The 26,472-nt window shown below is 50.6% G+C and overlaps 1 protein-coding gene and 2 long non-coding RNA genes across 13 annotated transcripts in view, besides 1 other annotated feature; all 3 read right to left on the reverse strand.

Annotated features, from left to right (window-relative positions):
- Positions 1-26,472, reverse strand: part of KLHDC4 (kelch domain containing 4) — a 67,841-nt gene that overhangs the window by 34,103 nt on the left and 7,266 nt on the right. For 4 of the 11 annotated variants that reach the window (NR_147833.2, NM_001184856.2, NM_017566.4 and 1 more), the window contains exons 3-5: positions 24,151-24,229; positions 22,946-23,044; positions 16,425-16,561 (exon numbers count right to left, since the gene is read on the reverse strand). Coding sequence is in view for 3 of the 11 variants with exons in the window: in NM_001184856.2 (NP_001171785.1) it covers positions 16,425-16,561; positions 22,946-23,044; positions 24,151-24,229 (315 nt within the window). In the remaining 8 variants the exon portion in view is untranslated. Of the gene's footprint in view, positions 1-10,740; positions 10,973-16,424; positions 16,562-22,945; positions 23,045-24,145; positions 24,232-26,472 lie in introns of those variants that run through there. The other 7 variants (NM_001184854.2, NM_001351938.2, XM_047434253.1 and 4 more) reach the window with 5 other exon arrangements.
- Positions 196-5,121, reverse strand: LOC124903752 (uncharacterized). Its single transcript, XR_007065174.1, has 2 exons — positions 1,540-5,121; positions 196-1,488 (listed from the first exon to the last, which is right to left on the reverse strand). It is a non-coding gene; the product is annotated as an uncharacterized LOC124903752 (long non-coding RNA).
- Positions 7,515-10,734, reverse strand: LOC124903751 (uncharacterized). Its single transcript, XR_007065173.1, has 2 exons — positions 8,334-10,734; positions 7,515-7,620 (listed from the first exon to the last, which is right to left on the reverse strand). It is a non-coding gene; the product is annotated as an uncharacterized LOC124903751 (long non-coding RNA).
- Positions 16,207-16,858: an enhancer, noted in NCBI's record as "H3K4me1 hESC enhancer chr16:87782061-87782712 (GRCh37/hg19 assembly coordinates)". NCBI's record gives its function as "activates a minimal SCP1, AML or CMV promoter by ChIP-STARR-seq in primed H9 embryonic stem cells {active_cell/tissue: H9 hESC(primed)}" and the evidence as "EXISTENCE:reporter gene assay evidence [ECO:0000049][PMID:30033119]".

A 26,472-nucleotide genomic window follows, 5' to 3' on the forward strand; every position in this document is an offset into this window, starting at 1 on the left:
CCACGACCAGCTAATTTTTGTATTTTTAGTAGAGATGGGGTTTCATCATATTGGTCAGGCTGGTCTCGAACTCCTGACCTCAGGTGATTTGCCTGCCTCGGCCTCCCAAAGTGCTGGGATTACAGGCATGAGCCACCGCCTCTGGTCAGGTGTGTATATTTCTTAACACTCATCTAAGTGTACATCTAAAAGGCATGCATTTTATTGAATTTTATTGTAATTATGTCTCAATAAAACTGATATAAAAATACATGGCAATAAAAAAATACAAAAAGCAAATTTAAAACCTTAAAAATACACACAAATAATACAATCACACACAAATAACACATAAATAACTACAATCAACCTCCCTAGTAATCAAAGAATTTCAAATAAAGCAGAGATACCATTTTATTCTATCAACTTGACAAAGATGTTTAAGAATTAGATTCTTTAAAATACTGCATGTCACGGGACAATGCTCGAAAAACAGCACGTGAAAAGGCAGGTCCAAAGCAAATCCTATCCCAGCTTCTACAGGTAAAAAGGCAGGTGCAAAGCAAATCCTATCCCAGCTTCTACAGGTGAAAAGGCAGGTGCAAAGCAAATCCTATCCCAGCTTCTACAGGTGAAAAGGCAGGTGCAAAGCAAATCCTATCCCAGCTTCTATAGGTGAAAAGGCAGGTGCAAAGCAAATCCTATCCCAGCTTCTATAGGTGAAAAGGCAGGTGCAAAGCAAATCCTATCCCAGCTTCTATAGGTGAAAAGGCAGGTGCAAAGCAAATCCTATCCCAGCTTCTATCGGTGAAAAGGCAGGTGCAAAGCAAATCCTATCCCAGCTTTTATCGGTGAAAAGGCAGGTGCAAAGCAAATCCTATCCCAGCTTCTATCGGTGAAAAGGCAGGTGCAAAGCAAATCCTATCCCAGCTTCTACAGGTGAAAAGGCAGGTGCAAAGCAAATCCTAACCCAGCTTCTACATGGGTGGTTCTCAGTGGTTTTCTTGTCTTAATCGTTTCCTGCATCTCCCAGCAGTCCTCCAGTGAGCAGGCGTGACTTTCACAACCAGAGAGAGGAGCAACAAAACAGACAGGGGTGGTGAGGAGGCGCTCGGGCAGCAGGTGCTCAGAAAGCTCGCAGAGGTGCTTACGCCGGCCACAGATGTGCAGGGCGCCCAGGCACAGAGGAGGCGGGGCACACAGGAATGGCTTTGGGCTGCAACATCAGGCTGAACAGGGTGCGTGTGCTGGGACTACCCAGGGAATCTCCTAGAGCCGCAGGCACCAGGGCAGGGCCTTAAGGAGGGTTGCTGGGCACAGTCACTGCAGCCACTCCCTGGGATCCTCACTGATGACCTGCCTCGCCTCCTACTTAGGAATCCACTCCCTGGGATCCTCACTGATGACCTGCCTCGCCTCCTACTTAGGAATCCACTCCCTGGGATCCTCACTGATGACCTGCCTCGCCTCCTACTTAGGAATCCACTCCCTGGGATCCTCACTGATGACCTGCCTCTCCTCCTACTTAGGAATCCACTCCCTGGGATCCTCACTGATGACCTGCCTCGCCTCCTACTTAGGAATCCACTCCCTGGGATCCTCCGTGGCTTTCACACCCACTCTCTGCCTGGCCCTCCCACCTCTCCACACAGGTCACAGCAACTCTGGGCTGCAAAGGATGGTTACAGCTTCAATCACGCAAGTCAGTGCCTATTTAGATAATGCATTCTTCCTCCATTTATTTTTTGTGCATGTTACACAGCTGTCCCCAAAACCCACTTACAGGGTTTTATGTAAAAGCCCAGAAATGGGCAGGTACCCTAAAAAACACAAGAGGGCCGGGCGCGGTGGCTCACGCCTGTCATCCCCAGCACTTTGAGAGGCCAAGGTGGGCGGATCACGAGGTCAGGAGCTCAAGACCAGCCTCACCAACATGGTGAAACCCTGTCTATACTAAAAATACAGTAATTAGCTTGGCGTCGTGGAGGCACCTGTAATGCCAGCTACTCAGGAGGCTGAGGCAGGAGAATTGCTTGAACCCAGGAGGTGGGAGCTGCAGTGAGCCGACACTGCGCCACTGCACTCCAGTCTGGGCGATAGAGCAAGACTCCGTCTCAAGAAAAAAAAAACACAAGACATCAAGACATGGAATCTCAAACGTAAAAGGAAGCTTGAGTGATCTAATCCAAGTTTACTGAAGTTCAGAGATAATTCACCACATCATCAGGGTGACTGCCAGGAGTCTTCGCTTGCTCCAAGCTGGAGCGAATTCGGTTCTCACTGCTCAAACGCGGGATCCCACCAGCTTCTCTCCTCTAGCACCCTCCATCATATCAGCACCCCTTTCAATGTATCACTGAAAATGACAACCACACCCCTCCATGGAATGTCAACCAGAAGCAATCAGTTCCTTTTTCTAGACACCAATTCTATTAATCCAACCCGGAGTTGGCATGAGCCTTTGGGGTGGCCTCTTCACATAGGGATACCCAGCAGGATCTCAGCTCACTAAGTTTCTTTGGAGTCCTGCAAGCTGGCCTCACTTCACAGTTCCACAGACTCCACAGCAGCTCCATCCCCTCCGGGCTTGGCACCGCAGGGGACAGCACCATCCAGCGGACACACTACACATGAGAGTCAATTGAGAAGAAAACCCCACACATGCGGAGCAAGAAAAGAACGCCCCTCCCCCTCCTGGCAAATTTCCCGATGCCCCCTCCCACTCCTGACGAATTGCCTGACGCCCCTCCCCCTCCTGACGAATTGCCTGACGCCCCTCCCCCTCCTGACGAATTGCCCGACGCCCCCTCCCCCCCAGACGAATTTCCTGATGGATTACTTTATAAGAACAATCTGAGGATCAGACCTTCATTCAAAACTAAACCAGTGCTGAAACCCCGTCTCTACTAAAAATACAAAAAAATTAGCCAGGCATGGTGGCGGGCGCCTGTAGTCCCAGCTACTCAGGAGGCTGAGGCAGGAGAATGGCGTGAACCCGGGAGGCGGAGCTTGCAGTGAGCAGAGATCGCACCACTGCACTCCAGCCTGGGCAACACAGCGAGACTCCGTCTCAAAAAAAAAAAAAAGAAAAAAAAAAAACTAAACCAGTGTGTCTGCATCCAAGTCCGCTTCAAAAAATGACAGAGGAGAACCGAGCGCTGCCACTGCCGTCCCCAACCAGCGAGGGAACACAGGCCTGGGGCCTGCTGCAGCCCCATAGATGGGGCGCCCCCCGCTGCCCTAACTGCGCTGGGGCGGGGCCTCCTTTCACTGCCTGCATGGGAACCCCACCAGAGTCTCATCCTCTGGCTGACACAACGGACTCAATTAACTTTTTGTGGCAGTAGCCAAATATCACCGTTTTCTACCTAAAAGGGGAAAATTTTCTATAAAAAGATTCCACGTCCCTCTTTAGAAAAATAAAGCTACTTTAAAAAGCCCATTTATATTTGAAACCCCAACAGGCTTCTCAAAACTGCTGTCATTCCTAAATACGAAGTCTTAAAAAATCCACATGTCCTCCTCAGCCAGAGGCCTATGGACAGCACAAAATACAGGGGAATGTCGTGGTGGCGGCTGCCTCGAGGCTCAGCAGCTGCGTGCAGGATGGAGCTCCAAGCAGGGCAAGCTGCCAGGCAGTGTCACCACCAGGCCCCTCGACTGGGCCGCTGTGGTGACATTTACAGAAAACTCTACATGCTTAGGGTACAGTCAGAATTAAACACTCTGCATGCAAACGCTTCTCTGAGTTAAGCACTCTGCATGCAAACGCTTCTCTGAGTGACTTTACAGTCTACACCTTACAAAATTATACAACATACAGTCACGCACTGCTTAATGACAGAGACGGGTTCTGGGAAACAACACATCATTAGGCGACCTTGTCATTGTGCTGTCCGAGTGCACGCACACACTTCTGGAAGGCACAGCCTGCCACACGCCTGCACTGACGGGAGAGCCCAATGCTTATAGGCTACAAACCTGGACAGCACAGTACTGTCCCAGACACTCTAAGCCACTGTAACACAATGGCAAGTAGATGTCTCAACACACAGAAGGGAAGTAAAAACACAGTCTGATCATCTTAGCGGACCACCAGTATGTATGGTCCGTCGTGAACAGAAACATCGTGAGGCAGCCCGACAGCAGGACCACTGCTGCACCGGCGGCCTAGAGACATCTGCTGAGCAAAGGAGCAATTCCTGCCGGATCCCTGAGAGTCTAGTGGCTCATCCTCAGACTAGAGAGCCCCTGTCTTTCAAAAGCAGTTACAGCACAGCCAGGGAGAGCCGTGTGCATGCACCTCCCCTACCATTTCAAACACATGCCTTGGAAACTTCGCCCTGCTTTTCCGAGTATCAAGTCCATCAAATAACAAATGATAGTGTAAAGACAGGGCACTTAATCACGTTATGTGGCATGATTAGTAGCCGTCTCCAGAATTCAGGCAACTTATAAACCACACCCTTGTCTCATCTTAATGATTACTACTCAGAGAAAAACCACCATTTGTGTTTATTCTATGCCAGGCACAGTCCTTTTATGTGCATTTATCCTCACAGCAAACTCGTGGTGCAGATATTACCTTTATTCTCATTTTACAGACAAGGAAATCGGCCGGGCGCGGTGGCTCACGCCTGTAATCCCAGTACTTTGGGAGGCCGAGGTGGGTGGATCACCTGAGGTCAGGAGTTCGAGACCAGCCTGGCCAACATGGTAAAACCCTGCCTCTTATTAAAAATATAACATTAGCCAGGCATGGTGGTAGGCACCTGTAATCCCAGCTACTTGGGAGGCTGAGGCAGGAGAATTGCTTGAACTCAGGAGGCAGAGGCTGCAGTGACCCGAGATGGCGCCTTTGTACTCCAGCCTGGGCGACAAAAAAAAAAAAAAAAAAAAAAAGATAAGAAAACCAAGACTAACAAGTCAGGATACCCAGGAAAGCAGTCAGTGGCACAGCCAGAATTTGAACCAAGGTGTTCTGGCTGTCAACACTGATTAAGACACTAAATGACATCACATGAAGTTAGAGGCCTCAGCACTGAAATAAACCTATGGCTCAAAAACCACTTACCCTAGGCCAGGGGCGGTGGCTCACGCCTGTAATCCCAGCACTTTGGGAGGCCAAAGCAGCCAGATCACTTGAAGTCAGGAGTTCAAGACCAGCCTGGCCAACATGGTGAAACCCCGACTCTCCTAAAAATACAAAAATTAGCCGAGCGTGGTGGTGCGCACCTGTAATCCCAGCTACTTGGAAAGCTGAGGCAAGAGAATCACTTGAACTCAGGAGGCGGAGGTTGCCGTGAGCCGAGATCACACCACCGCACTCCAGCTCACCTTCCCGGTTTCTCTACAAATCAGTCTTTTTTTTTTTTTTTTTGAGACAGTCTCGCTCTGTCACCCAGGCTGGAGCACAATGGCACGATCTCAGCTCACTGCTACCTCCACCTCCCGGGTTCAAGCAATTATTCCACCTAAGACTCCCGAGTAGCTGCAATTACAGGTGCCCACCATCATGCCTGGCTAATATTTTTCTGTATTTCTGTAGAGATGGCGTTTCACCATGTTGGTCAAGATGGTCTTGAACTCCTGACCTCAGGTGATCCGCCTGCCTCGGCCTCCCAAAGTGCTGGGATTACAGGTGTGAACCACTGCGCCCAGCCCAGTCTCTCTAAGTACATGTGGGTCCCACCTCCGTCCTATCAGAGATAGAAACTATCATCCGTCAGCAAACAGCACAACGGGGAATCCATACACACCCCGGCCTTCCAGCAGGGCAGGTTCTGCCTTCATGAGCTACTGCTGTTTGCTGTCGATAGACCCCAGGTTACTGTGGAGTCAGAGAGCTTCAGACCATGCAACCCAACCCACCACCCAGAGGGCAGAGCAGGGTGTGTCCATTCCTATGGTGACCTGTACTTCACACCTGAGACTCTCAGAGGCCAGTCACTGTTAGCTAACTCGTTGCGGTCCTTCACTACAGAATCGTAAAGTAACGGAATCATCCTGCCGAGGAGCCTTCTCCAGGAAACTGACTTTCACTCAGATGCAGCTTTAGCTGAGGACCAAATGAGGACCCTTCCTCACATCAGGAGAAAACAGTGCGTATGCCTGCGCACACACGGACGTGCACACACACACACACACACACATCTATATCTTCATCCAACCAAACAGTACCGATCATCTCCCAAGTGCTCCGGTGCATACAAAGATGTATGCACTGTCCGTGAACTTTCACAGCAACACTGCAAGAGCAGAAAAGTGGAAACAACCCAAGTGCCCAACAGAAAACCAAAACGTGGTCCATCCACACACCAGCACCTCATCCACACACCAGCACCTCATCCATCCACACACCAGCACCTCATCCATCCACACAGCACCTCATCCATCCACACACCAGCATCTCATCCATCCACACACCAGCATCTCATCCATCCACACACCAGCACCTCATCCATCCACACACCAGCACCTCATCCACCCACACACCAGCACCTCATCCATCCACACACCAGCACCTCATCCACACACCAGCACCTCATCCATCCACACACCAGCACCTCATCCATCCACACACCAGCACCTCATCCACCCACACACCAGCACCTCATCCATCCACACACCAGCACCTCATCCACACACCAGCACCTCATCCATCCACACACCAGCACCTCATCCACCCACACACCAGCACCTCATCCACCCACACACCAGCACCTCATCCATCCACACACCAGCACCTCATCCATCCACACACCAGCACCTCATCCATCCACACACCAGCACCTCATCCATCCACACACCAGCATCTCATCCATCCACACACCAGCACCTCATCCATCCACACACCAGCACCTCATCCATCCACACACCAGCACCTCATCCATCCACACACCAGCACCTCATCCATCCACACACCAGCACCTCATCCATCCACACACCAGCATCTCATCCACACACCAGCACCTCATCCATCCACACACCAGCATCTCATCCACACACCAGCACCTCATCCATCCACACACCAGCATCTCATCCATCCACACACCAGCACCTCATCCATCCACACACCAGCACCTCATCCATCCACACAACAGCATCTCATCCATCCACACACCAGCATCTCATCCATCCACACACCAGCACGTCATCCATCCACACACCAGCACCTCATCCACACACCAGCATCTCATCCATCCACACACCAGCACCTCATCCACACAACAGCATCTCATCCATCCACACACCAGCACGTCATCCATCCACACACCAGCACCTCATCCACACACCAGCATCTCATCCATCCACACACCAGCACCTCATCCATCCACACACCAGCACGTCATCCATCCACACACCAGCACGTCATCCATCCACACACCAGCACGTCATCCATCCACACACCAGCACGTCATACATCCACACACCAGCACCTCATCTGGCCACGGGAGTGAAGTGCTGATACTCGCAACAGCAGGACACGTCCTGACAGCACCACGCGGAAAGAAGAGCCCGTCACAGAGGCCACGTGTTTTGATTCCGCTTTTATGAAATACCCAGAAGAGGCAGATCCACAGACACAGACAGCAGGGACCGGGGACGGTGGGGTGTCTGCTAAAAAGACGGTTTTTCTTTCTGGGGGATGAAAATGCACCAACTTTAGATCATGGTGTTGGCTGCGCAATTCTGTGAACATGCTAAAGACCAATGAATGACACATTTTAAAGGGTGATTTGAGGGTATATGAATCACATCTCAGAGAAAGCTGTTATGAAACACCTATCGGGCGGGGTCCTAAAGTGGAGTCACAGATCATCCCTCAGAGGGCACTGGCCCAGAAACCAATGGAGGGAGACGAATCTCCCCCAACCCCCTGCACCTTCTCCAGGGGACAGGAAGAGAAGGTGGCAAGTGCCTGGAGAAACGCTGGCTGTGATGTGTGGCAGGCAGACCTAACCAAACTCTGAATCTTCAAAGCCAGCAAGCTCAGCCGGCAGGGCAGGCCCACCGTGACTGAGGAGGGAAATGAGAGAGCTCCAGTGATCCCACCCGACATGTGTGCATCCCGAGGGGACCACCGGCTCCGCTCTGCTCCCTATCCCAGAGGCCCAGGGCTGAGCAGCACAACGGGAGATTGACAAGTTGTGGGGGTGGGGAGAGGGGAAACCCTACTTTGGGGGTTCCCAGGAGCAGCCGCCTCCCCTCCTGCTCCAGAGCCTAATGCTGGGAGGATCCAGGCCGGACTGGGCAACAGGGCCTCTCTCCCGCCCAGCCCAGCGGAGGGTGGCTCCCACCTTCCTGGGAGCTGCCTGCACCCCCAGCTGTGACCCATCTCCACCAGGACACACCTTCGTCAAAGGAAAATGCTCTGCAAACACCAGATGCTGGTGTTTTTAGTGTTTCACAGTTTCCAGTCACTCTTGCCAATAACCGCAGACAGACTTTCAGTCACCAGCATCTGTTTACATGCGAGGGAAAAGGGGAGTCTTACAACCCCCTCCTCTTCCCAGCCCTTCCCACGCCCTCCATAATTAACACCACTGCCCTGAGCACAGCTCCTGCTGTTGCATCTAACTCCCTTCAAACTCACATGAGCGCACACACATTTAAAACAAACACACAGAAACAAAAATAAGAAACAGTACGGAGATCTATGCTGCAAAGTCGCAATGGGGCAGCTTTGCAGGCAACTCCCACTCAAGCAAGAGACTGAAGAGATCTCAAAATAGCTGCTAGCGCTGGCCACACGCAGCCCTCCAACGAGGCACGGATGCTCCCGCACGTGAGTTTTGGTCTTGAGGTCAGCATTGCCATTACCCCCCTCATTTCCAAACCATTATGACGTCAAGTATATGTGTCTGTTGCTAGAATGGAGAAGATGAGGGACTGTTACAAAGTATCCACATGATGTCCTGTCTGTTGCTAGAATGGAGAAGACAATGAGAGACTGTTAAAAAGTATCCACTAGTCATCCAATGTGCTACAAAAACACCCGCCAGCCAACCAACCAACACATAGCAGAAGGCAGCCAGCCAGCGCTGGCCTGGACAGAGGCCCAGGCGCCCTGCTGCCTGCCAGTTGGAGGTCCATGGCCTGTTAGGAATCAGGTCGCACAGCAGGAGGTGAGGGGGCCAGCAGGCATCAAAGGCTGAGCCCCACCTCCTGTCAAAGCAGCAGCAGCATTAGACTCTCACAGGAGTGAGAACCCTGTTGTGGGCTGCACACACCATAGATCCAGGTTGCGGAATCTAGGTTGTGAGCTCCTTAGGACAATCTAATGCCTGATGATCTGAGGTGCAACAGTTTCATCCTGAAACCGTCATCCCTCCCCACCAGCGGTGGAAAAACTGTCTTCCGTGAAACCAGTCCCTGGTGCCGAAAAGGGTGGGGACCATTGCTATACATTAACACAACTCAAATCAGATTATCAGCATCCCAAAATATGCATCGCTGTTAAAAATGACCAGATAACAGGAGGGACTCTATTCTGCCTTCCTACAAGAAAACCCTTAAAAGCCAAGGAAGAGACTGACTACTCCAGATACTGAATCCAGACTCCCTGCGCCTCTACCAATATTTAATTCCCGCCAACTTCACATCCTCGGCTGAAAAACCAACTCCCCCACAGAAGTAAAAAATATTCACTAAAAAATGAATGCGCAGTGCAGGGCTGCGTCATGGTAGCAACGCCTATTCCGTTTCCTGATGAGCTCTTCCTGGACTTCTCAAAAGACATAAGCCCACCCCACAGGGATTCCCACGTGCTCTGCACGAGGCCTGACACAGCAATCTTCCCCAGAAAGGGCAAAAACCGTCTTTGTTGTGGCTGAATCTCCTGACCTTTCCTTTTAGATCAATTTAAAAAAAAAAATGACAGAGGAAAAACAGCCAGAGTAGTCCTCTCTCAGCAGCGGCCACATAGTGTGTGAACCCCCAAGCCCAATTACAGGCAGCAGCAGCACTGCACCAGGATGCCACACACCGCAGCCCAGCCCATGAAATCAACAGGCCGCCTGCACCCTTCAGTCCCCTGTACCATCCCCAGCTACACTAGCCCCTGACGATCCGGCCACATAGCACTCAGAGCCTGACCTGCCAAACCACCGTTAAGAGAATGCTTTCATTCTGCAATCATTAGTAACTTACAAAAGCAAAACCTACACTACTTTCATTATTAAGGATCTAAGAGGTATTTTACATGAATATTCTTACTTCTTTTAAGCAGCAACTAAAAAACTTCACATCAGTTGAACAATATTCAAAATAAGCATGCCTTCCACCAGTCACAGAGGCTGATGGATCAGATCACAACTGGACCCCGTCTATGGTCCACAGCTGTCAGGATAGGGATCGTGGAGAGGGTACAAGGAGAGGTTAGGGTAAAACACAGATTCCTCAACCACACATCAACCTGCTCTGAATGGGACTGATGTCCGGAGTGGGAGGGCAGGAAGGAGCAGTCTCCTGGGCTCCCTAGGGTCTACGTGGAGTACGAAGACTTGAGAACCACTACTCAAGATCCTCTTCTCTGCCAGCAGACAGCTCTGCTGGCCACTGTGCCAGGAAAACCCCCCACTGTTCTCTAAGTTCAGAATCAAAACACGGCCCCTCCAGACGAGTTGCCCTAACGCCTTCCTATCAGGGAAGGGAAGACTCATTCTGCAAGGCGCCGCAGCTGTAGTCCAGTGTCTGCCACAGGTATGAAGTGACGACGAGCACGGAGAACACTTGAGGAAAACTGTGAAACAGGAGCACCTGCACAGGCATCACGCCAAGAGTCAGCCCTCCACACGCCAGCACCGGCACCAACTGGAGGCTTTTGGGAGAACCATCAGACATGAGGTCAAAGACTTTATAAATGTGTATGCCTTGCATTCTGATGTTTCGTTAAGTCACAGGGCCTCACTTGTGGCCCAGGTTGCAGTACAGTGATGCAATCACAGCTCACTGCCACCTTGAACTCCTGAGCTCAAGTGATCCTCCCACCCCAGCCTCCCAAGTAGCTGGGATTACACACACACCAGCACACCTAGCTAACTTCTTTAGAGATGGGGTCTTACTATGTTGTCCCGGCTGGTCTCAAACTCCTGGGCTCAAGTGATGCTCCCACCTCCGTTTCCTAAAGTGCTGGGATTACAGGCATGAGCCACTGCACCCGGCCTGGACTCTACAATTCTACTTCAGGCCATTTTAAACTTGACTGAATATTAAAAAAAATAAACCTGGCCAGGCGCCGTGGCTCATGCCTGTAATCTCAGCACTTTGGGAGGCCGAGGTGGGTGGATCATGAGGGTCAGGAGATCGAGACCATCCTGGCTAACACAGTGAAACCCCGTCTCTACTTAAAATACAAAATATTAGCCAGGCGTGGTGGCGGGCGCCTGTAGTCCCAGCTACTCGGGAGGCTGAGGCAAGATAATGGCGTGAACCCAGGAGGCGGAGCTTGCAGTGAGCCGAGATCAAACCACTGCACTCCAGCCTGGGAGACAGAGCGCGACACCGCCTCAAAAAAAATAAAAATAAAAGTAAATAAATAAATAAATAAACCTAACTTCCCAGGGTGTTTAGAGGTCAGGATTTGACACTCTTACCACCATAGCCCAGGTTTAAATTCTTAAATAAATAAAAAAACCAAATGGAGACATACACAATGCTCCCGATGGGGAGGAATGAGGGGTATGATGCTGTCACTGCCTAAATGCGATTTATCAGCAAACGCAATCCAGTCAAAATCCTTCTGGACTTTTAACATTAGAATTTGAGGGCCAGGCGTGGTGGCTCATGCCTGTAATCCCAGCAATTTGGGAGGCCGAGGGGGGCAGATCACTTGAGGTCAGGAGTTCAAGACCAGCCTGGCCAACACGGTGAAACCCTGTCTCTACTAAAAATACAAAAATTAAGGCTGGGTACAGTGGCTCATGCCTGTAATCCCAGCACTTTGTGAGACCGAGGTGGGGGGATCACCTGAGGTCAGGAGTTCAAGACCAGCCTGACCAACGTGAAGAAACCCCATCTCTACTAAAAGTACAAAATTAGCCGGGCATGGTGGCGGGCATCTGTAATCCCTGCTACTCAGGAAGCTGAGGCAGGAGAATTGCTTGAACCTCTGAGGTGGAGGTGGCAGTGAGCCGAGATCCCGCCACTGCACTCCAGCCTGGGCGACGAGAATGAGACTCCGTCTCCAAAAAAAAAAAAAAAAATTAGCCAGGCATGATGGCAGACACCTGTAATCCCAGCTACTCGGGACACTGAGGCACAAGAATGGCTTGAACCAGCGAGGTGGAGGTTGTAGTGAACCAAGATTGTGCTACTGCACTCCAGCCTGGGCAACAGAGCTAGACTGTCTCAGAAAAAAAAAAAAAATAGAATTTGAAAAACTGATGGTAAAGCTCATAAAAACAAAATACATGAAAAAAGCAAAGACTTTAAGTAAATGAGAAAAATCCTCCAACCTATCAAAATATACCATAAAGCTACAGTAATTAAAATAGCATAAAAAATGATACCAAGAAAAGATCAATGAATCAGAAAAAACCTCAGAAACAATACAGACCTTCTCCCTTCTCCTGTGCACGTACAGTGTGCACGCACCAGGTTCTCCAGATCACTGCGTCAGCACACACTTGCAAGTGCACACACACGAGCACACACACGCTCACACGCATGCAGTCACACACATGCATACACAGGCATAGACAGGCACATGCACTCACATATGCTCACACGTGCACACATGCAATCATCTGCACACACGCGGTGCACACACGTGTACACATGCAGGCTTTTTTCCAAGCATATGTTGTTCTGCATCCTGTTTTTTGTATATATTTTTGTACGAAATAAGAGGAAGCATTTCTTTAGGGTATAATCCTTAAACTTGGGGGTCAGGGGACACGCACATTTAAAATTCCAATGAGCAGGTGCCACCCACTGAGCGGTGGGGGCATGTTCTCTCCACCCTCACCCTACACCCATATTGCCCAGCACTGCTCTCACAACACCCGCCCTGGGGCCGGCCATAGGGTGCCCTCTGCTCCGCCTTCTGCTCTTGCAGCACCCGCCCCGGGGCCACCTCTTGGTGCCTCTGCCCAGCCCATACTACCCAGCACTGCTCTCGCAGCACCCGCCCCAGGGCCCGCCCTGTGGTGCCTCTGCCCCGCCTTCTGCTCTGCTGCAGAGGGCACCACCTCCCGGAACGTGAGCTCCGCCTGATGCTGCAGGTACCTTCTCCCCACCAGTCACCATTTTTAACTTTCCCTGTGGCATCATCTTCCACACAAAGACCTTCCTGTTTCATATGGGCAAATCCATCCACCTCTTCTGGCTTCTGCTGAATGTCTTGCTCAGAAAACCTTAGCTAAGATGCGCTTGGAGCTGGTACACAACAGACTGCAGTCAACTGTCACCGCAAGAGAAGCGTTCACTCGCACTGAAGGTCTTCAAGACGACATTGGGGCAGGGTGGGAGAGGGCAGGCTGAGGCCATGGGGACAGTCAAGGCGCCTGGTGTTTATGAGGGCAAGGGCTCAGCACCCCGAGCTGACTACAGGGTGGGAGAGAATGCGGAAAGGGACACGGACATCAGCTGTCAAAGAACATCTCCTGCAGACCATTTGTCACCGCTGTGCGTCTCGTCAGGGTCTTAACAACTGAATAAGGCTCAACATTAGGCATCTCCCAATCACAAATACATTAAGCAGCAGTAACCGAATCCTGCTGAGCAGTAGAAATACAGAAATTAAGCAGCTCAGCCTGGCACAGTGGCTCACACCTATAATCCCAGCTACTCAGGAAGCTGAAGTGGGAGAATCTCTTGAGGCCAAGAGTTCAAGACCAACCTGGGCAACATGACAAGACCCCATCTCTAAAAAAAGAAAAAAAAATTTAATTAGCCCGGCACGGTGGTGCACGCCTGTAATCCTGGCTACTAGGGGGGCTGAGGCAGGAAGACCACTTGAGCCCAGGAGTTTGAGGCTGCAATAAGGTGTGATCACACCACTGTATTCCAGCCTGGGCAACAGAGTAAGACTTTGTCTCTTGAAGAAGGAAGAAAGAAAGAAAGGAAGGAGAAAGAGAGAGAGAGAAAAGAGACAGAGAGGAGAAAAAGACAAGACCACAAAGAGAGAAAGAGAGAGAGAGCGAGAAAGAGAGAAAGAGACAGAGAGAGAAAGAGAGTGAGAGAAAGATTAAGCGCACACCCTCCATTCCCTGACCTCCAAATCCGTACTCACAACAGGCTGTGTCTCCTTATCAGACGCACACTCCACACGACCTTCCAGGACCAAGGGTGACCTGCGGAACCACACCCTGGCTGCCAAGGCAAACGTCTCAAAGCAATGCTCCGCGAGGTATCTCTGTTCATCCCCCACACAGGTCTCCCTTGCTAATGGTTACTTAGGCCAAGGAGAACCAGAAATCACCACCAGAGACAGATGCCTCCACAAAGGGTGATTCTGGCAAAAAGAAGAGAGTGAAGCACATAATGACCCTGTTCCTGCCCCACCACTCCCTCTAGAGACTGGAACTGGGGGCCAAGAATCGCAACTACATTGTATGTTTGCAGGATCACTATTAAAAAAAGTCTAATAGCTTCTACAATATACCTTTAAAACAGGTCTCCTGTTTTAATTACCATTAGCAAGCATTCGAGGAATGAGGTGTCTGTTTATCAGACAATCCAGACCCAGGGCAGCTGCCACGGATGTCCCGCGTACGACCGAGCCTGCAGTGTGGGATGCAGCTGGAGCTGCACACGAGGTAGGGGCTGCCATCCGCAGCTGCCGGCCCAAGAGAGGGGCCAGGGCCACTCCCAAAGTGACCAGGTACCCACAGTGCATCCCTATTCCCTTGGAACAGATACCCACGATCCGAGTGACAGAACCAGCAAAGCCTGAAGGCACGAGAGAGCCCTCATGTCACAGACAGCTCAGAGTCACCACAGAGTCACCACAGAGGCACCGGAGCCAACACCAGCCTGGCGGGACTTGCTGGGTTGGGTGCTGGGTTAGCCGCATTCTATCACAGAGACTTCACTCTCCTCACCTGTCAATTGTGAACAAGAGATACCAAAGCTGACAAAATGCTATTAAAAAATCAATCGATTTGCCAAAGATAAACAAGCAAATCAGTAACAAGCGGGCTCCAAAAGGAATAAAGCAAAAGGACAACTGTGTGCTGAGTGGAAATACGTGAGCTTCAAGATATACACAAAGAAATCCATTTTTAGCATGAAAGTAATTTCCCAATTGCTGCGCCTACTAAAATTACGAACCTTTCTCAAAGCAAGCATGAGAAAAGGGACGGAAAAGCCTGGGAACACAGTAACCCACCCCACACCACAGCACCTTCCGGGTCCCACTGTAAGGCTATGGTCATGTCCTCCTCCAGCAGGTGGGCCCAGGGCAGGGAATCTGTCTGCACCCTCCCCACCCACAGCAGACTCTTCATTTGACTGGTTAACATTCCCGGCCTAGAGCCAGGCAGAGCAGTGCAGCCAGCGAACAGGACTCAACACCCTGACAAGGCTCACTGCAATACAGCTGGGGACCAAACTCCAGAAAACACCCGGAACTGGCTCATTGTGACATAACCAAGCCCGGGCTCCAGGGAGCGCCGCTGCCCTCCGGCTGAAGCCCCAGGATGTGGAGAAGGCCTGTGTGCGGCGGCCTCTATCCCAGAAGCAAGGGCACTTCCGCTCTGCTGCTTTAATGGCAGAGAGATGGTGTGCGTAATGGTGGGTCATGGCCGCAGCAATCGAGCCAGGCCACACATAGAAGGACACTAACAACTCTACTTCAGTCTGTCATTCGACTAGACTTCTTCTCTTAAATAATTTATATGCAAACATGCCATCTGGCTCTCTACACGGAGAGACAAACATGTAGCTCTTGACTAATGGGAGACACCCGTGCGTGGTAAACATGCATCAGAAACCCCATCAGCAACATTCCCGACAGAGGTGGAAATCAAGAGGCTGAGCAGGGTTCACTGAAGAGAAATGTCAACATCCTTCCTGTCTCATACCAGCTCCACGGTTTCTACACCAACTCGACACAGAAAGAACGTGCCTTTTAGTCAATGACACATCGCTATGGGGCCCCCCTTCCAACAAGCTGGGCACCCAGAGCTGCCTCCAATGATGTAAACAGAAGACCACAGGAGAAGAGCTGCAACACAGGCAGCGAGAGGCTGGTGGCCAACAACAAGAGGAACCTGGAGAACAACACCAGGCAGCTGGCACCCCCCACACCCGGCCCAGGCTTCTGTATGAAGGGTCCAGAGAAAATGTGGTCTCCCAGGACCCAGCGAGGCTGGGCTCCAGGACTGTGACCCAAGTTCCTCTGAACCCTGGTATTCTGAGGTCTGCTCCGAGCACTCGGGCTCAGCACACAAGCACAGAAGAGCCATGCCCGGAGCTCAGCTTCTCATCTGGCTTCTTACTTGACTTGTTCCCAGGTCTTGGTGGCCAAATGCAGGACCCAGAGATCCTTGTAGTGGTAGAACTGCTCTCCGTTGGGAGAGGCAAACTCCCCTCCAAAGACCCACAGCTGTCCGCCACCTTGAGGCACTACCACCGCCTGTGAAAAGAAAGGTGACAGGTCAGGGCACAGCCACACAGCAGAAGGGCCAGTGTCATGGGTGACCGGTAGTGGTGAGCGCTTCAGTACTATCTCGGATGCCCTGCAACATGACCAGCCCCACACTCAGCCACTTTCCTCTCCTGCCTCTAAGGGGAGGATTCCAGACAAACACCCTCGTAGGAAAGCACGTCCTCAGTCAAGGGTCTAATAAACCTTCATGTATCCCTAGGTTGCAAGATAAACATCCATTTACATGTAGACAATGCCATATCCCATTAAAGTGGACACAGCTAGTTACTTCAAACATTAACAACGGTGTGGTGCAACCTAGCAGTGTTTTCCTTTTATTAATATCCACAATAAAGCTGTCTGCCTGCTCTCGTTAATCCCTCTCCTTGCTATCATGTGCCAACTAAATTAGCCTCAGAAGTACAATGTGCACGTAAAAGAAAGTGTTTATGTGCCAGGCGCGGTGGCTCACACCTGTAATCCCAGCACTTCGGGAGGCTGAGGTGGACAGATCACGAGATCAAGAAATAGAGACCATCCTGGCCAACATGGTGAAACCCCATCTCTACTAAAAATACAAACATTAGCCGGGCATGGTGGCATGCACCTGTAGTCCCAGCTGCTTGGGAGGCTAAGGCAGAAGAATCGCTTGAACCTGGGAGGTGGAGGGTGCAGTGAGCCAAGACTGTGCCATTGCACTCCAGCCTGGACGACAGAGCGAGACTCCATGTCAAAAAAAAAAAAAAAAAAGAAAGAAAGTGTTTATGTTTTTTCCTTTTAGAGACCACGTCTTGCTCTATTGCCCAGACTGGAGTGCGGTGGCGCCATCATCACTCACTGCAGCCTCGACCTCATGGTTTCAAGTGACCCTCCCACTTCAGCCTCCTGAGTAGCTTGGACGACAGGCATGTGACATCATGCCCAGCTGTTTAATTTTTTGCAGCAATGGCGTCTACGCTGTCCAGGCTGGTCTCAAACTCCTGGCTTTAGTCAATTCTCCCGCCTCGGCCTCCCAAAGCACACTGGGATTACACACACGAACCACCACACCCAGCCTTACGTGACATTATGAATGATTAATAAAGACTCAGCACCACAGTAAAGGTGAAGGAGCGCAGCGGGAGTGATGCCCTCTGGGCCACACACGGCAAAGCACTCCGGCAGCAGGGGATGCTGAGGAGAGAGCAGACCACCAATCAAAAACAACGGCATCCCTGACGGGTCATCAGACACCACCGGCTACTCCACATGAGGCCCTCCGTGGCCCACTCCCTCTCAGGGCCCCCAAGAACTGCGGGAGGCAGAGTCTTTAGGGGACGGCACACATCCATCTGTGGAAAGAGCTGCTTGGACAGACTGCTGGGCTACAAGCAATGGCAGAGACCACCAAGCTCCACGGGGTCTTTCCTCCAAACCTGCAAATTAAGCAGTAGCTGGGGTCCAGGATGAGAAAAGCACGCTCCTAGGCAGTCTGTGTTAGCAACCACGCTGGAGGGGCCCCTCAGTGCTGCATCTCCACAGGTGAGAGCCGCCCACCCTGCCCAGGGTCACGCAGCCCAGCTTCGCCTGACTGTAACGCACCTAGTGGCATAATTAAGAGAGAAAAAGCGACCTGAGCAACCTGGCAGCAGGTGAAGCCCCATTTCCCAGCTCAGCCGTGGTCATTGCAGAGTTGGTTCTTTCATAAAAGCCTCTTGTTTTATTTCCTCTCGTTTCAAGGTAAGAGTGAGGATCTAGCAGGACGAAGAATGGTTCCACACAGGGCGCAGAGAGGGCTGGTAAATGAGAGTGCCAACCCGTCTAAGGTCAAGTGCGCCTCGGGTGGGGCAGACAGTGGTCCTCAGCAGGCTCCCTCCCGGCACCTCTGAGTCGGTGTTCCGCCCGCCCGCACATAGAAACGGCCACAGTGCCGCCCCTCTGCACCGATGCGGTTCCTTCCTGGGCCAGACAGCGGGCGCAGGTGGTAGCAGCACACAGGGGGTGGCGTGTCCCTCTCCACCCCACCCACTTCCAGTTGTTCTTTGCATCTGTCATCTCAGCACAGAGGACTTACCTGTAAAGGGACAGGCCAGGTTTCCTATCATTCTAAAAGCCCAGTAGTTCCATAGGGAGAAACTGACCAATTTACACCTTTACAGCAGACATGATGACTGGCTCAAGGCCGAAACCTAACAAATGTTTTGAGTCTAGAGGAAGTTAGGTGGCACAACCATGCCACACAGTAAATAGAGTTTTAAACTATCATCTCGGGAAGACTATTCAATGCCACAGAATAATCCTACAATAATACATCAACGGTAAAAAACACTATAGAAAGAACACATACATGCACGCTCCAGTTAGCGTGAAATAGATGCATAGAAATATGAACTGGCTGGGCGTGGTGGCTCACGCCTCTAATTCCAGTGCTTTGGGAGGCCGAGGGAGGTAGATCATGAGGTCAGGAGTTTGAGACCAGCCTGACCAACATGGTGAAACCCTGTCTGTACTAAAAATATAAAAATTAGCCAGACGTGGTGGCATGCGCCTGTAAACCCAGCTACTTGGGAGGCTGAGGCAGGAGAATCGCTTGAGCCTGGGAGGCAGAAGTTGCAGTGAGCTGAGGTCGCACCACTGCACTCCAGCCCGGGCAACAGAGCAAGACTTCATCTCAAAAAAAAAAGAAAAAAAAAATGAACTTTATGTGCAGAGAAAACATGCAGAAAATACAAATTCAGTTTAGGGAGAATAGACAATGGACTTGCCTTTTAATTCTTTTCATTTTTTTCAGAATGAATATTTACACCTTACATAATCAGTCCCTAAAGCCATTCCTGGCCAGGTGCAGTGGCTCATGCCTGTAACCCCAACACTGTGGGAGGCTCATGTGGGAGGATTGCTTGAGCCCAGTACTTTGACACCAGCCTTCACAACAAGCAAGACCCTATTTCTAAAATATAAAAAATAAAGCCATTCTTAAAAAATGAAGTCGGCCGGGCACGGTGGCTCACGCCTGTAATCCCAGCACTTTGGGAGGCCGAGGCGGGCGGATCACGAGGCCAGGAGATTAAGACCATCCTGGCTAACATGGTGAAACCCTATTTCTACTAAAAATACTAAAAAAATTAGCCAGGCACGGTGGCAGGTGCCTGTAGTCCCAGCTACTCAGGAAGCTGAGGCAGGAGAATGGCATGAACCCGGGAGGCATGAACCCGGGAGGCGGAGGTTGCAGTGAGCCGAGATCGCGCCACTGCACTCCAGCCTGGGCAACAGAGTGAGACTTTGTCTCAAAAAAAAAAAAAAAAAAAAAAAAAGAAGCCAAATGGCCAGGCACAGTGGCTCACGCCTGTAATCCCAGCTCTCAGGGAAGCAGAGGCAGGAGGATCGTTTGAGCCCAGGAGTTCAACACTTGCCTGGGCAATATAGCGAGACCCGTTCTCCACAAAAAAGAAAAAAAAAAAAGACCAAAAAGAAAAAAATGAAGTCAAACTCCAGGCAAGAGTGTAATCCACAATCCGATCCACAGCACTGTTTTTTCTTTTTTTTTTTTTTTGGAGACAGAGTCTCGCTCTGTCACCAGGCTGGAGTGCAGTGGCGTGATCTTGGCTCACTGCAACCTCCAACGCCCCTGGTTCAAGCGATTCTCCTGCCTCAGCCTCCTGAGTAGCTGGGATTACAGGCACGCGCCACGACGCCCAGGTAATTTTTGTAGTTTTAGTAGAGACGGGGTTTCACCATGTTGGCCAGGATGGTCTCGATCTCCTGACCTTGTGATTCGCCCATCCCGGCCTCCCAAAGTGCTGGGATTACAGGCATGAGCCACCATGCCCAGCCCACAGCACTGTTTCAACATCCTTTCCTCCATCTTAGTTACAATCCCAGGCTTGACCCAGTCCGACCCAGAGGACCACCCAAAGGCAGGCTGATCAGCAGTCTAAGAGCTTCGTATAGCCTACGCCCCAAAGATAATGAACACCAGGGAAAAAAATAAATATGACTCAAGGGAAGATTAAAACTACGGAGACCCACAGATAAAACTTCTACTCCTGCCCACGATGGAGCAACCTGTACCACGTTAGCTCCGCACCATCAACAAGGAAAAAACCAGACGAAATCTAGGAAGCAACAACCTCCAGACAACAGGAAGCGGGAAGTGCAGGACTGTGAACCTGAGAGCCAGGAAACACGCCACGCAGCCCTGACCCATGACTCCAGCCCCTGCAGGCAGCTCCTTCCCTGGAGCAGGGACAAGGGGCACAGGCAGGGCAGGTGGTCTTGCATAGCTGAGGAGACAAGGACTGGAGTTCAGGGACGCAGAGGCAGCTAAAAGTGGCAGGGCAGAGCACTGGAGAGAGGAAGCTATGGGAGAAAAAGCCCTGGAAATCTGCACGGGGGCGTCCCCTGGAGTCTCTGTACACTAAACTGCACCCTGGGAGGGTGAGACCAAGGAACCACCACTGTGAAGACAAAAGCATCTTCTGATGCTGAGAACTATCAGAGCTTACACAGGGCTTGGAAACAGGCAAGTTCCAACCAGACGAGGTGAAAAGATGTCACTGACCACACAGGTCATTCACTAGAGACTGCAGAAAGGCCACCACTGAGGGCTAAGCCAGCCCTAGAGAGAGCGTCAAAGATCAAGATGATCTGCAAGGAACTGAATCACCTCAGGACAAAATGCAACACTGTTTGATAGGTGAAAAAATCCAGACACTCAGGCTGGGAGCAGTGGCTCACGCCTGTAATCTCAGCACTTTGGGAGGCCGAGGTGGGTGGATCACTTGAGGTCAGGAGTTCGAAACCAGCCTGGCCAACATGGTGAAACCCCGTCTCTACTGAAAATACAAAAAATTACCTAGGCGTGGTGGCACACGCCTATAATCCCAGCTACTTGGGAGGCTAAGGCAGGAGAATCTCTTGAACTCAGGAAGCGGAGGTTGCAGTGAGCCAAGATCGCGCCACTGCACTCCAGCCTGGGCAACAAGAGAGAGACTCCATCTCAAGGAGAAAAAAAAAAAAAAAATTAGCCAAGCGTGGTGGCGGGTACCTGTAATCCCAGCTACTCAGCGGGCTGAAGCAGGAGAATCGCTTGAACCCGGCAGGCGGAGGTTGTAGTGAGATGAGATCACACCATTGTACTCTTACCTGGGTGACAGCAAGACACCATCTCAAAAAAAAAAAAAAAAAAAAGTAGCCGGACGTGGTGGCATGTGCCTGTAATCCCAGCTACTGGGGAGGCTGAGGCAGGAGAATCCCTTGAACCCAGGAGGCGGAAATTGCAGTGAGCTGATATAATGCCACTGCACTCCAGGCTGGGAGACAGAGCAAGACTCCCTCTCAAAAAAAATAAAATAAAGATTCAAATGTAGAAGGCACCTTAGCCACCTAATACAATCCCAGTCAGGTGTGGTGAGGGGTGCCTGTAATCCCAGTTACTCAGGAGGCTGGGGCAGGAGAATCACTTCAACCTGGGGGGCAGAGGTTGCAATGAGCCGAAATCAGGCCATTGCACTCCAGCCTGGGTGACAGAGCAAGACTCCATCTCAACAACAACAACAACAAATACAAGCGTATACAAATCTGATTTTTAAACCAGCCCAAATGCCTGCAAGCCTGCATCTGCACGGGATGTTCACACAGCTCAGGCAGGCAGGTCCTCCTCACCAAACCAACTTCATTAGCAGGTGAGTTCTAAGCACACAATCAGCAAAGGGGGAAGGAAATATTGCACAGGAATGCATGTATCATGCTGTGGTCACCTGATGCGTTGATCTTTCTCTGCACTGGAGAGGCAGGCACTCATTCAAATTTTCTGTGCGAGTCTAACTGTCACAGAGTTGAACAATGGACAAGGACAGAGTTCCCATCCTCACAGAGCTTACAGAACGTCTAACTCCGGAAGCCCCTTCCCTGACAGGAGAGCGACAGCTGACACTGCTCTCCTGGGTAGGAAACCAGCTAACCACGTGCTAAGTCAGTGCCACTTCTCTGTGATCCGGTTACCACTCGTTTCCGCTAATACAATTGTTTTCCTTCCACCATGCACACCTTTCCTGAACATCCAGTTCTCCTGTCTTCACCATCTAGTCCAGACCGTGGGCCTAGGGGGAGTGAGCATTCTGCCAGTGGCTGCGACACACCAGGAACGACACGAGCTATTTTACATGGAATATTTCATGTGATCCTCATGCCACCTGGGGAGCAGGTGTTCTCCTCCCCGTCTCACAGTGAAGAAGCTGAGTAAGGAATCCAAGTGAGCAAACAGCAGAACCAGGCGATCTACAGGGCCCAGCCCCTCCGCACCAGCTGCCTGTCACCTATCAACTCTCCGTGTGTCTACCAGACTCCCACGTGGGAAGAGGGAGGGTGGCTGAGAGTCAGTGCTGACATTACCTGGTGAGCACAGCGCCTCGGAGGTGGACTGGGGATGTCAACTTTGGTCCAGGTGTCCTTTCTGGTATTGTAGACATAGAGCTCGTTATACAAAAAAGTCTACAGGAAGGAAGAAGAATGTCAGTGTCACAAATGATACGCTTCCAAGGAAGTGGTGAGAACAATCTTAATCATGACAATTCCCTGGGAAACTGACATGCTAAAGGAATGTAAACCATACCAGCACAGGGAGGCCATGGGCTGGGTCCCCGGGGCCATTGGGGATGACGACACAATGAAAACGACCGAACGCCCACCAGGCCCATCAATCTGGAAGGTACTGAAAGCCCTCGTTGTTATTAGGACTGGTCATTCTCCTAATTCCAGCCTAGTTTTTTTGTTTTTGTTTTGTTTGAGATGAAGTCTCGCTGTTGCCCACAATGGAGTGCAATGGCGCAATCTTTGCTCACTGCAACCTCCGCCTCCCAGGTGCAAGTGATTCTCTGCCTCAGCCTCCAAGTAGCTAGGACTACAGGCGCCCGCCACCACACCCCGCTAATTTTTGTATCGTTAGCAGAGACTGGGTTTCACCACATTGGCCAGACTGCTCTCAAACTCCTGACCTCAGGTGATCTGCCCACCTCGGCCTCCCAAAGTGCTGGGATTACAGGCATGAGCCACTGTACCCAGTCAAGCCTAGTTTCTAAATGCACGAAAACTGAGAGACGAAGATGGACAAATGCAGTCAAACCCCCAAGGCCCATCCCGGGCTGCAGGGAAGGTGAGCTCCTGCTTTTGTGTGTCACACACAATTGTGAAACACAGGTCTTACTGGCCTGCTCAAAAATAAAAATTAGCCCTAAAATTTATCAGCACTTTCCGTGTTTAAGACAACCTGAAAGCTGAGTGTGAAACCTGGAAACCCGCTGGGAGGAAGAACAGCACAGACAACCACAAAGAGGGGTGCGCCCGCCAAGAGTGATGACGGCAGAGCTGGGCCTCAGCCTAAGTCCCAGGAATAGAGACCCCAGGACCACTGAAGTCATCAACAGTCATGCCAGGGCCTGGAGCATCCTGGCGACGTCTCACATCAGGCCTGACGGCTCAAGCGCGTGATACAAGGGGTGAAGGGGCTAACGCATATTTGATGTCACTGCCTTAAGTTAACTTTCTGTCAAATGATACTCACGCAACATGGGAAGAAAAGAAAAAAATATATACTTTACTTTTTGGCCGTTGAAATATTCACCTCCAAAAAGGATTAACTCATCTTTCTCAGGATGAACCGAGAGGGAGGCATTTAACCTACAAGACACACAAGCGGCAGGTCAGCAAGATCACCCCCGATACCCACCTGAGCGCTGTCCCCTTCCTCACAGAATCCTCTGTCACCACAAACTGGCTGCCTCTACACTTCCTGAAAGGAGAGCCTGGCATCGAGAAAGGAAGCAAAGGTGCCACTTGAACACCAACCCCTCTACCAGTGCCCAGGGCCACACTCCAAGGACAACCATGGAGCTGGACTGACACAGTGTCTGGTTGTATTAACAAAAAAAAAAAAAAAAAAAAAATTCCCCAGGCAGGAATAAGTCCAGATGCCCCTACTGATGTATCAAATGTTCCAGAACTGTTTTTTTGATTTGTTTTTTTTCATTTTTGAGATGGAGTTTCCCTCTTGTCACCCAGGCTGGAGTGCAATGGCACAATCTCAGCTCACCACAACCTCCAACTCCTGGGTTCAAGCAATTCTCCTGCCTCAGCCCTCCGAGTGGCTGGGATTGCAGGTGCCCACCACCACACCCAGCTAGTTTTTGTATTTTTTAGTAGAGATGGGGTTTCACTGCATTGGCCAGGCTGGTCTCAAACTCCGGACCTCAAGTGATCTGCCCACCTCGGCCTCCCACAGTGCTGGGATTACAGGTGTGAGCCACCGTGCCTGGACCTCAGAACTGTCCTCTTTTAAGAGCCTATCCTGTCAAATCACCTCAAAACCATTCTAAAAAGTCCAGTAACTAGGCCAGGAGCAGTGGCTCCTGCCTGTAATCCCAGCACTTTGGGAGGCCGAGGCAGGCAGATCACGAGGTGAAGAGATCGAGACCATCCTAGCCAACATGGCGAAACCCCGTCTCAACTAAAAATAGAAAAATTAGCTGGGCATGGTGGTGCGTGCCTATGGTCCCAGCTACTCGGGAGGCTGAGGCAGGAGAACCACTTGAACCTGGGAGTTGGGGGTTGCAGTGAGCTGAGATCATGCCATTGCACTCCAGCCTGGCGACAGAGCAAGATTCCATCTGAAAAAAAAAAAAAAAAGTCCATATGTAAGTACTTCAATATACATGCCAGATATCTTCCATCTAGAAAATACAAACAACTTTCTATTTATTTCACATGAGAACAAAAGAAGAGCTACAAGGAAATTACATAATAATATTATGGGCCAGGCCCGGTGGCTCACACTTGTAATCCCAGCACTTTGGGAGGCTGAGGCGGGCAGATCACCTGAGGTGAGGAGTTCAAGACCAGCCTGGCAAACACGGTGAAACCCCCCGTCTCTACTAAAAATACAAAAAGTAGCCAGGCATGGTGGTGGGCACCTGTAATCCCAGCTACTCAGGAGGCTGAGGCAGGAGGATCACTTGAACCCGGGAGGCAGAGGCTGCAGTGAGCCAGGATTGCATCATTGCACTCCATCCTGGGAGACAGAGCAAGACTGTCTTAAAAAAACAAAAAATAAATAAATAAATACATAGGGCCACTTCAGTTGAAAGTAATGAAAGACACAGTGACTATCTGGCGAATCACTGGGAAAGATCCTCCCTTCAGAGTCCTCTAAGACGGCGTTCCCCAAGGCGTGCTCCATAATGCCAACTCCAAAAGATGTTTCTCAAAGGAAAAACAGGTTTCAAGGTCAAGTGAGTTTGGGAAATCTGAGAACTCTATTTTCTATTGGGGATTTATTTGCATAGAAACATGTCATAGGCTGGGAATTTCTGCAGGAAAGAAACCAGTATTAAAAGCTAAACACAGAATCACCACATAATCCAGCAGTTCGTTCCCAGGCATTAGCTCAAACAGATACCTGTATGCAATGCTCGTTACGGCCTCACAAAAGCCAAACAGTAGAAATAACCTAAGTGTTGGTCTGCAGATGAGTGGACAAACACAATGTGGCATACCCACAGACGGAACAGGATTTAGCCATAAGAAGAAATAAAGTTCTCACACATGCCACAGAACTGATGAACTTGGACATACCAGGTGAAGGAAGTCAGTCACAAAAAGACACTTCTATGACTCCACTTACGCAAAATACCTAGAATAGGCCAATTCACAGTGACAGAAAGTTGACCAGAAGTCACCAGGGGGCTGGGGGAGGGGAAACAGGGAGCAACCATTGAAGGGTCTAGACACTTCTCCCATCTTTTGGCTTCCCTGGGCTACAATGGAAGAAGAATTGTCTCGGGCCACGCATAAAATACACTAACACTAACAATAGCTGATGAGCTTTAAAAAAAAATCTCATCATGTTTTAAGAAAGTTTACAAATA

The sequence above is a fragment of the Homo sapiens genome, chromosome 16 (genome assembly GCF_000001405.40).
Source record: "Homo sapiens chromosome 16, GRCh38.p14 Primary Assembly".
NCBI classification, from domain to species: Eukaryota; Metazoa; Chordata; class Mammalia; order Primates; family Hominidae; genus Homo; species Homo sapiens.